This window comes from Homo sapiens, chromosome 5 (genome assembly GCF_000001405.40).
Source record: "Homo sapiens chromosome 5, GRCh38.p14 Primary Assembly".
In the NCBI taxonomy this organism is placed as follows: Eukaryota; Metazoa; Chordata; class Mammalia; order Primates; family Hominidae; genus Homo; species Homo sapiens.
Window position 1 is genome coordinate 22090765 of NC_000005.10, and position 16391 is coordinate 22107155.

The following is a 16391-nucleotide window of genomic DNA, read 5'->3' on the forward strand; positions in this document are numbered from 1 at the left end:
GTTTAATGTCCAATAAATATTTAATGTAATACCCATGTCAATAGAATAAAGAAGAAACAAAACAAACAGAGGATCATGTCAATGATCTAGAAAATGTATTTGATAATTTTCAATATGTTTTATTGATAAAAACAATCAACAAAGTAGGAAGAAAACAAAACACCTGCAAGCTGACAAAGATAATCTAACAAGTCTCCACAAGTCATATCATGGTAAAGGTAACAGACTGCATGTTTTCTCTCCAAGAACACAAACAAGAAAGGAAGGTACACTCTCCTCGTGTCTTTACGACATTCTAATGGAGGTTTTATTAGGCAAATTAGACAAGAAAAGAGGGAAAATTTACCAGACTAGAAAGGTAGAAAAAAATTTGTCTCAACTTGCAGATGACATGATCTTTTATATTAAATATCCTAAAGTGTGTGTGTGTGTGTATATATATATATATATATATATAGCTTAGTAAATATTTTAAAGTATATACATATAGTTTAAGATATTTGTGTGTGTGTTTGTGTGTGTGTGTGAGAGAGAAAGAGAGAGAGAGAGAAACAGAGGGAGAGTGTTAGAGGCCTGGCAGCATACAAGATCAATATACAAAACTCAACTGTATTTCTATACACTGAAATGTCATTAAAATTGAATGCCATTAAAAATGGCACTGAAAATTGAATTAAGAAAATACTTCCATTTATAATAGTGTCTGAAAGATAAAATATTTAGATCAAAACCTAACAAAAGAAGTGAAAAATGCATATGCTGAAAACCACAAACCATTGTTGCAAGAAATTAAAGAATGTCTATGTAAATGAGTGGGCATAAAATGTTCATAGATTGGAAAGTTAATATTATTAAGAAGACAATAACCCCAAATTGATCCTTATGCAATTCCTGTCAAAATTCAAGCCACGATAGTACAGCAATTGAAATGTTCATTCTAAAATTCATGTAGAAATGAAAGGGACCCAGCAGAATATTAAAAACAGTCTTATACAAAAAAGTAAATAATTTGGAGAACTCACACTTTTCACTTTTAAAGCTCAAAACACCACTGCAATAAGCATGACAATGTGGTACTGGCATAAGTATACACCCAGAAGCCATAGAAAGGAATAGAGATCCTAAAATAAATGGGTCCATCCTGAGTGAATTTTTGCATATGGTGGCAGTGGAGGATTAAATTAGTCTTTTTTTTATGTGGATATCCAATTGACCCAGGCCCATTGTATCTAATACTGCTTGTAGCAAATCAGTTGCCTAAAAATAAGTTTATTTTAGGGTCTCTATTTTCTCAGTAAATGATCCTGGGGCAATTGGATATCCACATAAAAATGACTTTTATCCTCTACTGCCACCATATGCAAAAATTCACTCAGGATGGATCATAGACCTTATTTAAGAGTTAATCCTGTAAGATTCTTACACACAAACATAGAATAGGCAATTCAGTGTGTTTAAAAATATATGACTTCAAAAGCCCAAGTGACAAGATAAAGACAAGCTGGACTTTAGGAAAATTAGCAATTTCTTGCTTCAAAGAATACAGATATGGAAGTAAAAAGATAACCCATAGAATGCAAAAAAGTATGTTCAAATTATTCACTTGACAAGAGACTTGTATCTCAAATATATAAAGACCATTTATTATTCAATAGAAAGATAATACAATCAATAAATGAGAGAGGGCTTTGAATAGACATTTCTCCAAATCAGATACACACATGGACAATATGCCCATGAAAGGACTGTCAACACCATTCATTAGTCACTAGGAAAATGCAAATCGAAAACCACAGTGAAGATGGCTATAATAGAAAAATAACATAGTAACAAATGTTGAAGGAGGATGTGAAAAATCAGCACCCGCACACATGGCTGCTAAGAATGTAAAATGGTGGAGCTTTTTTGGATATTATTTTGGTAGTTCCTCAAAATGTTAAAATATAGAGTTTATGAGATGATCCAGAAATTTCACTCTTAGGTATCTACCTAAGAGAAAATGGAAAAGACTCATCCACACAAAAACCTGTATACATAACCTCCCAGCAGCATTATTAATCATAGCCGAACAGTGGAAACAAATTACATAAAAACCAATGGGATTATTTGATGAACAAAATCTCATATATTCATATGTAGAGGGTTCAAGGGATTTGGGGACTGATCAAGGAAAATGATGTCACTGTGAGAAGCAGTTAACACACAACAAGCTTTAGTGGGTGGTGTTTGCACAGCCTCACATGAGAGTGCACATCCCTTGCAGCATGGGGCTGATGATAGGGGCTATTATCCAGAGGACAGGGGGTTCAGAGAGGTGGTTTACACAAATGATGTTATTAAGCAGCATGGTCAGGTGTCTCTGGGTCAGAGAGATCCAAAGGGCTGTCGCAGCTTGGATTTCATAACCACAAAGCTCTAGCTTATCTATTACTAGCAGGTGTGGGGTGAGGTTTTGAAGGGTAAGTAAATCAGACACTCTCTTAAGTGGCTAAAAATCTACTTGTTTGGACTATTTTTAAAACAATTGAATGTATGAAAATTTGAGTTTGACTCTGGTGGGGTTTGGAGCTCATGGGTCTCAACTTGTAGTGAAGAAATAAACTAAGGGTACATATAAAAAGTCTACATTTAGCTCATTTACATAACACCATGCAATTGATTATTACATGGCAATGAAAAGGGATAAAGTCCTCATGCCTGCTACAATATAGATGAAATTTTAAAACATTTTGCAAATGAAAGAAGTCAGTTATAAAAGATTACATATTATATGATTGTTATTTATATTGTTTTTAGAATAGGTGAATAAAGACAGAGGGGAAATTAATTGTTGTTTAGGGACTGTATTTTGGGTATGACCTGGAGAATGATTGCCAACGGGTTTGGGGTTCCTTCTTGGGCGAATAAAAATGTTCTAAAATCATATTGTGGTGATGGTTGCAACACTATGTGAATATAGTAATAAAAATTGAATTCCATACTTTAAATAGGTGGATTGTGTGATATGGAAGTTATATCGCAATAAAGTTGTTTAAAAAATGACTTCATGATAGACTTCAGACTCAAGATTTTGGGCTGTAATTAGTGGACCTGAAATTGTCTTTGCTTCTTGAAGCAAATTAAATCAAACAAGGTCCCAATTCATGTGTTAATATATTTTACATAATATTGATCAGAGACTACCTCAATACTAACTTATGGCTCATATTTGAGAGTATTTCCACTGATTTACATGTGCTAGTGCCTCACTGCTTCACCATGACCACCTGGGCAGCATATAAATCCTCTAAAGTTTTATAGAAACCATCTGGGCTGGAAATCGCCCACATTTGCTTTATCTGTGCTGCAGAGGGAAATCAAGAGGCAAACCGTTACACAGATGAATTTTCCCAAGACACAAAGGCAGCACACTCCTTTAAACATTCCAGGAAGCAGTGAACATGGGGGAAAGAGGAGTCTGAAGCCATGCCTCAGCTTATTTTCTAGACTAAGCCTTGGAACCAACTTAAGAGGTGACCCATAAGAATCTGACTGACTGCAAGCAAGAAGAGCTCTTGGGTTGCAGAAATAGATACTATGCTGCTCTTTACGGAGAACCACAAAGATTTGAATAATGTCAATACATAATGGTATGAGTAGTTTTATTCACCAGAATTCCAGAGGGACTAAATCTAGGATGAAAATGAAGCTGAGTTTAGCACAAAGTACATTTCTCAGAGGAATGTGTACAAGGGAGAAGGTAAGGACAGAAACTATCGTAACAGTAGGGGGTGGCATGGCCTGTAAGTAGGTAGTCATGTGGGAGAGGGGGAGAAAGAAGAAAGGAGATTTTAGGAGACAGATTTGAACTTAAGAGTGTATTAATGGGCATCAAGAGGCCTCACAATGGCCCAGCTACATATCAGTATAGATTTAAAGATGCACAAACAATTGGAACTGTCAGGCCTCTGAGCCCAAGCTAAGCCATCATATCCCCTGTGACCTGCACATACACATCCAGATGGCCGGTTCCTGCCTTAACTGATGACATTATCTTGTGAAATTCCTTCTCCTCACTCATCCTGGCTCAAAAGCTCCCCTACTGAGCACCTTGTGACCCCCACTCCTGCACACCAGAGAACAACCCCTCTTTGACTGTAATTTTCATTTACCTACCCAAACCTTATAAAACGGGCCCACCCCTATCTCCCTTTGCTGACCCTCTTTTCGGACTCAGCCCGCCTGTGCCCAGGTGATTAAAAAGCTTTATTGCTCACACAAAGCCTGTTTAGTGGTCTCTTCACACGGACATACATGAAATTTGGTGCCGTGACTTGGATCGGGGGACCTCCCTTAGGAGATCAATCCCCTGTCCTCCTGCTCTTTGCTCCATGAAAAAGATCCACCTACGACCTCAGGTCCTCAGACCCACCAGCCCAAGGAACATCTCACCAATTTTAAATCAGGTAAGTGGCCTCTTCTCACTTCTCCAACGTCTCTCACTATCCCTCAACCACTTTCTCCTTTCAATCTTGGTGCCACCCTTCAATCTCTCCCTTCTCTTAATTTCAATTCCTTTCATTTTCTGGTGGAGACAAAGGAGACACGTTTTATCTGTGGACCCAAAACTCCGGCGCCGGTCATGGACTCGGGAAGGCAGCCTTCCCTTGGTGTTTAATCATTGCAGGGACGCCTCTCTGATTATTCACCCATGTTTCAGAGGTGTCTGACCATGCGAGAACACCTGCCTTGGTCCTTCACCCTTAGCGGCAAGTACTGCTTTTCTGGGAGGCAAGAACACTCCAACTCCTTCTCTCCATGTCTCTACCCCTTCTCTGCTTTTCTGGGGGGCAAGAACCCCCCAATCCCTTCTCCTTCACCCTTAGTGGCAAGTACTGCTTTTCTAGGGGGCAAGAACCCCCCAACCCCTTCTCTCCGTGTCTCTACCCCTTCTCTGCTTTTCTGGGGGCAAGAATCCCCCAATCCCTTATTTCCACACCCCGACCCCTTATCTCTGCACCCCGATCCCTTAATTCCACACCCCAACCTCTTATCTCTGTGCTCTGATCCCTTACTTCCATGCCCCAACCTCTTATCTCTGCGCCCCGATCCCTTATTTCCGTGCCCCGACCTCTTATCTCTGCACCACGATCCCTTATTTCCGTGCCCCAACCTCTTATCTCTGCACCCTGATCCCTTATTTCCACACCCCGACCTCTTATATCTGCGCTCCAACCCCTTATTTCCATGCCCCAACCCCTTTCCTGCTTTTCTGGAGGGTAAGAACCCCCAAACCCCTTCCCTCTGTGTCTCTACCCTGCTCTTTAAACTTGCCTCCTTCACTATGGGCAACCCTTCATTCCTCCTTCTCCCTTAGCCTGTGCTCTCAAGAACTTAAAACCTCTTCAACTCACACCTGACCTAAAACCTAAATGCCTTATTTTCTTCTTCAATGCTGCTTGACCCCAATACAAACTCGACAGTAGTTCCAAATAGCCAAAAAACGGCACTTTCGATTTTTCCGTCCTACAAGATCTAAATAATTCTTGTCGTAAAATAGGCAAACGGTCTGAGGTGCCTGATGTCCAGGCATTCTTTTATACATTGGTCCCTCCCTAGTCTCTGTTCCCAATGCAACTCATCCCAAATCTTCCTTCCCTCCCGCCGGTCCCCTCAGTCCCAACCCCAAGTGTTGCTGAGTCTTTCTAATCTTCCTTTTCTACAGACACATCTCACCTCTCTCCTCCTAGCCAGGCAGAGCTAGGTGCCAATTCTTCCTCAGCCTCCGATCCTCCACCCTATAATCCTTTTATCACCTCCCCTCCTCACACCTGGTCCGGCTTACAGTTTCTTTCCGCTACTAGCCCTCCCCCACCTGCCCAGCAATTTCCTCTTTAAAAGGTGGCTGGAGCTAAAGGCATAGTTAAGTTTAATGCTCCTTTTTCTTTATCCTACCTCTCCCAGATCAGTTAGTGTTTAGGCTCTTTTTCATCAAATATAAAAACGCAGCCCAGTTCATGGCCCCTTTAGCAGCAACCCTGAGATGCTTTACAGCCCTAGACCCTGAAAGGTCACAAGGCCGTCTTATTCTCAATATACATTTTATTTTATTACCCAATCTGCTCCCAACATTAAATAAAGCTCCAAAAATTAAATTCTGGCCCTCAAACCCCACAACAGGACTTAACCTCACCTTCAAGGTATGCAATAATAGAGTAGAGGCAGCCAAGTAGCAACATATTTCTGAGTTGCAATTCCTTGCCTCCACTGTGAGACAAACCCCAGCCACATCTCCAGCACACAAGGACTCCAAATGCCTGAACCGCAGCTGCCAGAGTTTCCTCCAGAACCTCCTCCCTCAGGAGCTTGCTACAAGTGCCAGAAATCTGGCCACCAGGCCAAAGAATGCCCCACAGCCTAGGATTCCTCCTAAGCTGTGTCCCATCTGTGTAGGACCCCACTGAAAATCAGACTGTTCAACTCACCTGGCAGCCACTCCCAGAGCCCCTGGAACTCTGGCCCAAGGCTCTCTGACTGACTCCTTCCCAGCTCTTCTCAGCTTAGCGGCTGAAGACTGACACTGCCCGATCGCCTCAGAAGCCCCCTAGACCATCACGGATGCTGAGCTTCAAGTAACTCTCACAGCAGAAAGTAAGTCCTTAATCAATAAGGAGGCTACCCACTCCACATTACCTTCTTTTCAAGGGCCTGTTTCCCTTGCCTCCATAAATGTGGTAGGTATTGACGGCCAGGCTTCTAAACATCTTTAAACTCCCCAACTCTAGTGCCAACTTAGACAATACTCTTTTAAGCGCTCCTTTTTAGTTATCCCCACCTGCCCAGTTCCCTTATTAGGCTGAGACACTTTAACTAAATTGTCTGCTTCCCTGACTGTTCTTGGGCTACAGCCACACCTCACTGCCACCTTTTCCCCCAGTTCAAAGCCTCCTTCACATCCTCCCCTTGTATCTCCCCACCTAAACCCACAAGTATAAGACACCTCTACTCCCTCCTTAGCGACCGATCATGTACCCCTTTCCACCCCATTAAAACCTAATCACTCTTACCCTGCTCAATGCCAACATCCCATCCCACAGCACGCTTTGAGAAGATTAAAGCCTGTTATCTCTCACCTGCTACAGCATGGCCTTTTAAAGCCTATAAACTCCCCTTACAATTCCCCCATTTCACCTGTCCTAAAACCAGACAAGGCTTACAGGTTAGTTCAAGATCTGTGCCTTATCAACCAAATTGTTTTGCCTATCCACCCCATGGTGCCAAACCCATATACTCTCCTATCCTCAATACCTCCCTCCACAATCCATTATTCTGTTCTAGATCTCAAACATGCTTCCTTTACTATTCCTTTGCACCCTTCATCCCAGCCTCTCTTTGCTTTCACTTGGACTGACCCTGACACCCATCAGGCTCAGCAAATTACCTGGGCTGTACTGCTGCAAGTCTTCAAAGACAGCCCCCATTACTTCAGTCAAGCCCAAATTTCTTCCTCATCTGTTACCTATCTCAGCATAATTCTAATAAAAACACATGTGCTCTCCATGCTGATCGTGTCCAGCTAATCTCCCAAACCCCAATCCCTTCTACAAAACAACAACTCCTTTCCTTCCTAGGCATGGTTAGTGTGGTCAGAATTCTTACACAAGAGCCAGGACCCCACCCTTTAGCCTTTCTGTCCAAACAACTTGACCTTACTGTTTTAGCCTAGTCCTCATGTTTGCGTGCAGCAGCTGCCGCTGCTTTAATACTTTTAGAGGCCCTAAAAATCACAAACTATGCTCAACTCACTCGCTACAGTTCTCATAACTGCCAAAATCTATTTTCTTCCTCCCACCTGACACATATACTTTCTGCTCCCCAGCTCCTTCAGCTGTATTCACTCTTCGTTGAGTCGCCCACAATTACAATTGTTCCTGGCCCGGACTTCAATCCGGCCTCCCACATTATTCCTGATACCACACCTGACCCCCATGACTGTATCCCTCTGATCCACCTGACATTCATCCAATGTCCCCGTATTTCCTTCTTTCCTGTTCCTCACCCTGATTATGGCTTGATTTATTGATAGCAGTTCCACCAGGCCTAATCGCCACACACCAGCAAAGGCAGGCTATGCTATAGTACAAGCCACTAGCCTGCCTCTTAGAACCTCTCATTTCCTTTCCATTGTAGAAATCTATCCTCAAAGAAATAACTTCTCAGTGTTCCATCTGCTATTCTACTACTCCTCAAGGATTATTCAGGCCCCCTCCCTTCCCTACACATCAAGCTAAGGGATTTGCCCCCACCCAGGACTGGCAAATTAGCTTTACTCAACATGCCCCAAGTCAGAAAACTAAAATACCTCTTAGTCTAGGTAGACACTTTTACTGGATAAGTAGAGGCCTTTCCTACAGGGTCTGAGAAGGCCACCACTGTCATTTCTTCCCTTCTCTCAGACATAATTCCTCAGTTTGGCCTTCCCACCTCTATACGGTCTGATAACAGACCAGCCTTTACTAGTCGAATCACCCAAGCAGTTTCTCAGGCTCTTAGTATTCAGTGGAACCTTCATATCCCTTACCATCCTCAATCTTCAGGAAAGGCAGAACGGACTAATGATCTTTTAAAAACACATCTCACCAAGCTCAGCCACCAACTTAAAAAGGACTGGACAATACTTTTATCACTTTCCCTTCTCAGAATTCAGGCCTGTCCTTGGAATGCTACAGGGTACAGCCCATTTAAGCTCCTGTATGGACACTCCTTTTTATTAGGCCCCAGTCTCATTCCAGACACCAGACCAACTTAGACTGTGCCCCAAGAAACTTGTCATCCCTACTATCTTCTGTCTAGTCATACTCCTATTCACCGTTCTCAACTACTCATAAATGCCCTGCTCTTGTTTACACTGCCGGTTTACACTGTTTCTCTAAGCCATCACAGCTGATATCTCCTGGTGCTACCCCCAAACTGCCACTCTTAACTCTTGAAGTAAATAAATAATCTTTGCTGGCAGAACTATGCTGAATCTCCTTAGGCACTCTCTAATTAGATGTCCTAGGTCCTCCCAATTCTTAGACCTTTAATACCTGTTTTTCTCCTTCTCTTATTCCGTTTACTTTTTCAATTCATACAAAACTGTATCCAGGCCATCACCAATAATTCTAAATGACAAATATTTCTTCTAACAGTCCCACAATATCACCCCTTACCACAAAATCTTCCTTCAGTTTAATCTCTCCCACTCTAGGTTCCCACGCTGCCCCTAATGCCGCTCGAAGCAGCCCTGAGAAACATCGCCCATTATCTCTCCATACCATCCCCCAAAATTTTCGCTGTCCCAAATCTTTACCACTATTTTGTTTTATTTTTCTTATTAATATAAGAAGACAGGAACTACAAAGCTATCAACTGAATTTCTAAAAACCAAGAAAATATTGTGTCTGTTTCAGATAAAAAAATACTTACTTATTAACCAGTCTTTAAAAATGTATGCATCCCTGATTCTAAACCTTAAATTAAACACTAGAGAAGTTTTCCTTGTAATTTATTGGAGGGATAGTGAGAGATATATTGAGGACTGTGCGTAGAGACTGAATTATAATTTTTCAAATAGAAAAATAGTAAGAGGTGACAAAAAGGAAGGAAATACTATTAAGCAAGAGAGAAACATTTAGTAAGCAGCAAATATGCTCTAATTCCATAATTCCTGGCAAAAACAAGATCACACAAGTCTCACGAGACATTTTTGTCCTTAGAATTTACCTCACATTTTGATATTAAGTTTAACTCTTGATGTGTCTAATTACAAACCTTCAAATATGAATCTGAAAAATGATTCTGTTACTCTCTATAAAAATCTTACCAGTGTCACTATGGCTCCTTTATCTACTATATGCCATACATTAGACACACACACACACACACACACACACACACACACATACACTCTTTTATTTAGATAACCCATTCTACTTTAAATAATACATTTAGTTAAATTATAAATTACTGCATTACACTATTGATTTGTTAAAATCACCCTGCATGTTGTGGTCCTCCTGAATTTCATATACCACTGGGGATATAAATGGGTTTTCTTATTTTGAGAATTATTCAATAATTTCACTTATTAAAATGTTTTATTTAGAACTCATTCAACCAGATGAGTTATGTCCATTGTTTACCAAGGTATCAGCTGCCTTACATGAAATTTATTCTTGATTTCTTTTGCTGTATTATTTTACAATAGATTCTTATTTCTAAATTATAAAATCAAATGTGTTATGCATTGAAATCACTATTTTTATTACAAAAACCAGATATTACCTGTATGTAAAAATTTGCAAATGTGACGCACCAAGAAAATAAAATTACTTATATTAATGCCCAGAACTTTGCTCATTTCTTCAGCATGCAAATATTTATTGGGTGCCTCATATTATCTAGGAACAATTTTAGACACCGAGACTTTTACTGAGCAAAATTCACACAATTTCATCTCCATACAGATATTAAAAATGAGGTTGATGTAATTATTTGAACATTTTATTCCCATATTTAAAAGACTGGTCGTGTACTCCCGGTATGTATGTATTGTATATTTATATGTATTGTTATGGGAAATTTATAATATATTTGCAACATTATAGAACACAACTGTTTTTCTTCTTCTTCTTTCTTTTACATACTTCCAAAACTTTCTTAAGATCTGGGTCTCAGCAGACAACTTAGAATGCAACAATGACTATTTAATTTTCCCAGAAAATGGAAAGTGTATTGCTTCCAGAGTTCCTGTGGACCATAGCCAGTTTTATCTTAGGCTTCAAGTCTGCACAGAAGTATTTTCCATCTTAATAAGGAACATTAAAGACAAATGAAGAAAATTAAAAGAAAACTCAAAAATTAAGGTCTATGAGAAAACACATAGCATATGAAAACCACTTGCTCCATTGTTTTTAATTTTATAAACTAAAAGAAGTAGAAAATATTATTTCCAAGGAAATGTGATACAAGTGAGGAAATTTATAAACTGCAGATGAGAAAACTGGGATGCAGATTTCTATTAATGTTATAATTCAGGTATTGGCAAACTTCTGAGAAAGACCAAATTGTACACATTTTAGGCTTTGTGGAGCTTAAGGTCTCTGTCGCAACTATTCAACTCTGCCATTGTAGCTCACAAGAAGTCATAACCAATATGTAACCAAATGGGTATGACTATGTTCCAATAGTGCCATATTTACAAAATCAGGAAATGACCTGGATTTGACTAGGGGCCATAGATTGCTGACCTCTAAAATCTGAAGATTCTTTTAACAGTATCTTTAGAGAGGTGAAGTGAAAATATATATTTATAAAGTCACTGATAATTGGATATTGGCGTCAGACTTTCCCCATCTTTAAAACTGTTATGTTTGTTTAATTTTTTCCCCAAATATATGAAGTGTTTTAAAATCAACTTTGGAATCCACTGAGATAATAAGACATTATGACGTCCAGAGAGCTTTCTCCATCCTTTACCAGCATTTATTTTTTGTAACCAAGATACGGGTTCTCAAATAATGGCTCCTGGGTGCTTTGAAAAAGTAGTGCGATGGTTTGAATGTGTCCTCCAAAAAGCATTTGTTGAAAACGTAATCCCCTGGCAGGGCACGGTGGCTCACGCCTGTTATCCCAGCACTTTGGGAGGCCGAAGCAAGTGGATCATCTGAGGTCAGGAGTTCAAGACCAGCCTGATCAACATGGTGAAGCCCCGTCTCTACTAAAAATACAAAAATTAGCTAGGCATGGTGGCGGTCACTTGTAGTCCCAGCTACCTGGGAGGCTGAGGCAGGAGAATCGCTTGTACCCGGGAGGCGTAGGTTGCAGTCATCGCGTCACTGCATTCCAGCCTGGGGGACAGAGTGAGACTCCGTCTCCAATAAATAAATAAATAAATAAATAAATAAATACATAAATAAATAATAAGAAAATGTAATCCCCAATGTAACAGTGTTGGGGGGAGGGGCCTAACAAAAAATGATTAGGCCATGAGAACTCCGTGGATTAATGCAGCTATCTCCAGAGTAGATTCACGCTCTCTCTCTCTCCCTACCCTCTTCAGCCTTCTGTTCAGCCATGGAATGATGCAGCAAGAAGATCCTCATCAGATGCCATGAAATGAGCTAAGACAGATCAGCTCCCCTTTAACATACTGTAGGAAACACTGCATCCCAGAGTGAGGAACAGGCACGCATCTACACTGACCTATATCATTAGGGGCTCTGCAGTAATATCCCCAGTGTGGCTCGTGTACGTTTCCCACTCTGCTGATTAATGAACACAGCATTTCAGCAGATGCCTGCTCTGACTTTCAGCACTTAGAGACAGGCAGATAGGTGACAGAGAAAGAAAAACAAAAGCCATACTACCATGACAGCTTCTAATCTCGGATCTTGAATGTATCTGGTCTCATGGAAGTAAATCTGACAACCTTTCTATTTTTAAAATTTATGATGACGATGATGATGATTTTTCTTCTTTCACCCTGGCTCTGTCTGTCTTAGGAGTTGTGATGCTCTTATGATAGGTGAAAAATAGGTTAACATTGAACTTAAGACCTGATGCAGTTAGCTTTCATTCTTACAACCAGCCATCCAAATGATAGAGGAAAAGATCTTAGCACCTCTGCAGCTGCTCATCAACACTGATTTTCTCAAATGATAAATAAACTGCCCTCTATTTGCTGGTGTGAACACGTAGATGAATATTGACTTAGACAGGTGCTGAGCTCCTTTAATTTCATAAATTGCATTGTGTTCCTTCTCCACTGCAAGCAGAATCCTTATCGCTTCTTATGCAGCTAATCGTTTATTGCTTATTAAACTGCTAATAAAATCCAGAAACTATATTGCTTTACTGATTAATACAGCTCATGAAGAAATGTGTGTAATTCTAGGCTTTCAAAGTCACTCATTCTGAATTGAAGGTTATATATCAAAGGCAGTGAAAATAACATAGTACTTTCATTTCTCATTTAATCTCAGAAAGTTATGTTTTCCATTTATTTCATTTAACATGATTTTGTAGTGAATATTTATCCAAATGCAACATCAGTGACAGAGAAGCATATGAAATAATGACACTATGTAAGTAAAGGAAGTCACATCTGCTTGTCAAGTTAGGTTTTTGGCAATAAACATAAATTTGTCAAGGTACTCTATCGCACTTTGCATCATTATGGTTTGGAAGAAAAATCAATAATGCATTTGTAAGGGTTGTATTCACTGAAATTAAACAAAGCAACAGTCTCTGGTGAGGCTGCACTTTAGGTGAACTCACAATGGAAAGTTATGGGAAAATTTAATGACAAAACCTATAGCTTTATAGATTGAGAAGCTAATCAAATAGTAACAGAAACCTTGAAAGTAAATAGATATCATACCTACATTATATTGAGTATACCATACAAAATAAATATTTATCTGTTATAGCCATAATGTATTAGAAAATACTAAAAAATAATTAGCTCTCAAGTAGCTATTGCAAATTTCCTTGTAGGCATTTGAATTAGATTATATAAAAATTAGTATCATCTGAAATGTTTTTGGATCAAAGTTCCACAAATGTCCACTTTTGTGTGTTAAACAGTCTTTGTGAAGTATGTATTTGGAAAGAGATATTGCTTTATTTTAAGTCAAATTAAATGAGAAAAAAGAAAAGGAAAGAATAAATAAAAGAAAGACCTGAGTGTGAAAGGAAAAAAAAAACTTTGTTTTTAAAATTGTTTGTTTTGTTATTAGCAGGGATATCCCTGAAGGAAAGTGTATCTTTTCTAAGAATTTACAATAGGATATCTACCCCAATCTGTTCAGGAACGTGTGCATTAGAAATACTGGCTGATGTTGCTATATCTTTCTTCAAGTGGAACACAGTGATTTACAACCCTACCAAAAGTCTCGGAGAGCCCATAGTCCTTTATCCTCCAGAATCCTCTTTACTTCAGACTTTTTGATCCTTACCAGCCTAATAATAGTTGGTATTTGATTTTAATTTTTAATTGTATGCTATTATTTTTATCTCTTTTTCAGTGAGAGATGTATACATTTGCTAGGGCTGCCATAAAAATTTTACAAAGCCACCCATAAACTGGGCGGCTTCAACAGCAGAAATTTATTGTCTCACATTCTGGTGAAATTAAGGTGTTGCTAGGGCTGATTTCTTCTGAGGGCTATGAGAAAGAATCAGGTGCATGACTCTCCTTGCTTTTAGTGGCTTCATGCTTTCCTTGGCTCATACACGATATGCTCCCTGTGACTTCACATCATCTTTCCCTGCGCGTATGTCTGTCTCTGTTTCCAAATTTCTGCTTTTCTTTTCTTTTTTTTTGAGATTGAGTCTCACTCTGTTGCCAGGCTGGAATGCAGTGGTACGATCTCAGCTCACTACAACCTCCAATTCCCTGGTTCAAGTGATTCTCCTGCCTCAGCCTCCCGAGTAACTGGGATTACAGGCATGCACCAGCACACCCAGCTAATTTTTTTTATATTTTCAGTAGAGATAGGGTTTCACCATGTTGGCCAGGATGGTCTTGATCTCCTGACCTCGTGATCCGCCCACCTCGGCCCCCCAAAGTCCTGGGATTACAGGCATGAGCCACCAAGCCCAGCCTCATTTTTCAAATAAGAACGCCAGGCTGGGCCTGGTGGCTCAAGCCTGTAATCCCAGCACTTTGGGAGGCCAAGGAGGGAGGATCTCCTGAGGTCAGGGGTTCGAGACCAGCCTGGCCTACATGGTGAAACCCTGTCTCTACTAAAAATACAAAACTTAGCCAGGTGTGGTGTTCTGCACCTGTAGTTTCAGCTACTCGGGAGGCTGAGGAAGGATAATCGCTTGAACCCAGGAGGCAGAGGTTGCAGTGGGCTGAGATTGTGCCACTGCACTCCAGCCTGGGTGACAGAGCAATATTCTGTTAAAAAATAAAATAAAATAAAATAAAATAAAGTAAAATAAAATAAAATAAAATAAAAACATCATTTGTGTTAGATTAGGCCCTATCTTAATAACCTCAGTTTGACTTGATTGCCTCTACAAAGACCCTATTTTTAAAAATAAAGGTCACATTCTGAAGTATAAAGAGACTCAGCATGTCTTATTTTGGGGAGGTACACAATTAAATGTATCACAGGATAATATAACTTTTCCTTAAATGTTAAGGGCTTTATAGCTAGTATATAGTTGTCAGATGTATTGTGAATATTATTTCCAGGTTGGTATATGTCCTATGATTGGTTTGTGGAATACTATTGCCATAGAAGTTTCCATTTTTCATGGTCTGATTTGTTGTTCTTTCCATGAAGATTTCTCTGTGTTAAAGAAGGAAACCATAGACACTGGGTTCTACTTGAGGGTGGAGGGTGGGAGGAGGGAGAGGAGCAGGAAAGGTAACTATTGGGTACTGGGTTTAATTCCTGGATGATGAAATAATGTATACAACAACCCGGTGACATGAGTTTACCTATGTAACAAACCTTCATATGTATCCCCAAACATAAAAGTTAAAAAAACAAGATTTCTCTGTGTTTTGTCTATTTTCTAATGTTTTTCTCTAGTACTGTCATTTCATTTTTATGCAAATTTTCAATCATTTTGGAATGTATCTTGACATACAGGATAAGGTAGATATTCAGCTGTATTTTACCTAGTAGATGTGCTAATTGTCCTAATATCTTGTATTGACTAATTCATGTAATAATGTTATATAATATAACAAGGGAAAATATTTATTGAATTTGACTATGTTCTAAACTACAGACACTCTTCTAAAAACTTTATGTTATCAGTCATTTAATACTTTAAAAACCCCTCCATTGTTTTTATCATGTGCATTTCACTGATGAAGAAACTGAGACAGAAAAGAATTCTACCTGCCTATCCCATGGCTCCAAGCCTGTGCATTCACCCTAGCTGGGAAAACGTCCAAGAACTCCTCATGCTTCAGAAAAGAATATCCCTCCAACAGTATGCACTAAAAATTACTCTGTATCCATCAAGTAATAACTTGTGAGGATGCTTATGTTTCTCTTTGCTATGCCATCCAACAGTTTTACTAAATGGCATCAATTTTACCTAGTGTAAGATGTATTAATATTGAGTTATATGCATCTTAATAGAAATATAACTTTGAAGAGGAGTAAAAATCTAATAGATGAGCCTTCCAGCATCACTCAGATGATAGGAGGAACAACAAAGGAAGGTGTTTTTGTTCATTTCCCTTGGACTTGTCCTTAGCTTCTTTCCTTTTTCCCAGCTACCCATTCTACTGGGGTCCTAGACTGTGGCAATTCAACTCCAAGTGCCCAAAGGATGTCAAAATTAGCCTTGGGACAATGCCACAATGCCACATTTCTACTTTTTTTTTTTTTTTTAAGATG

General features: G+C 39.4%; 1 protein-coding gene across 9 annotated transcripts in view, besides 1 other annotated feature; it reads right to left on the reverse strand.

Annotated features, from left to right (window-relative positions):
* CDH12 (cadherin 12) overlaps positions 1 to 16391 on the reverse strand; it is a 1102672-nt gene that overhangs the window by 340092 nt on the left and 746189 nt on the right.
* Positions 2223 to 2423: a silencer, noted in NCBI's record as "peak5184 fragment used in MPRA reporter construct". NCBI's record gives its function as "represses an SCP1 promoter by STARR-seq MPRAs in K562 erythroleukemia cells {active_cell/tissue: K562}" and the evidence as "EXISTENCE:reporter gene assay evidence [ECO:0000049][PMID:32103011]".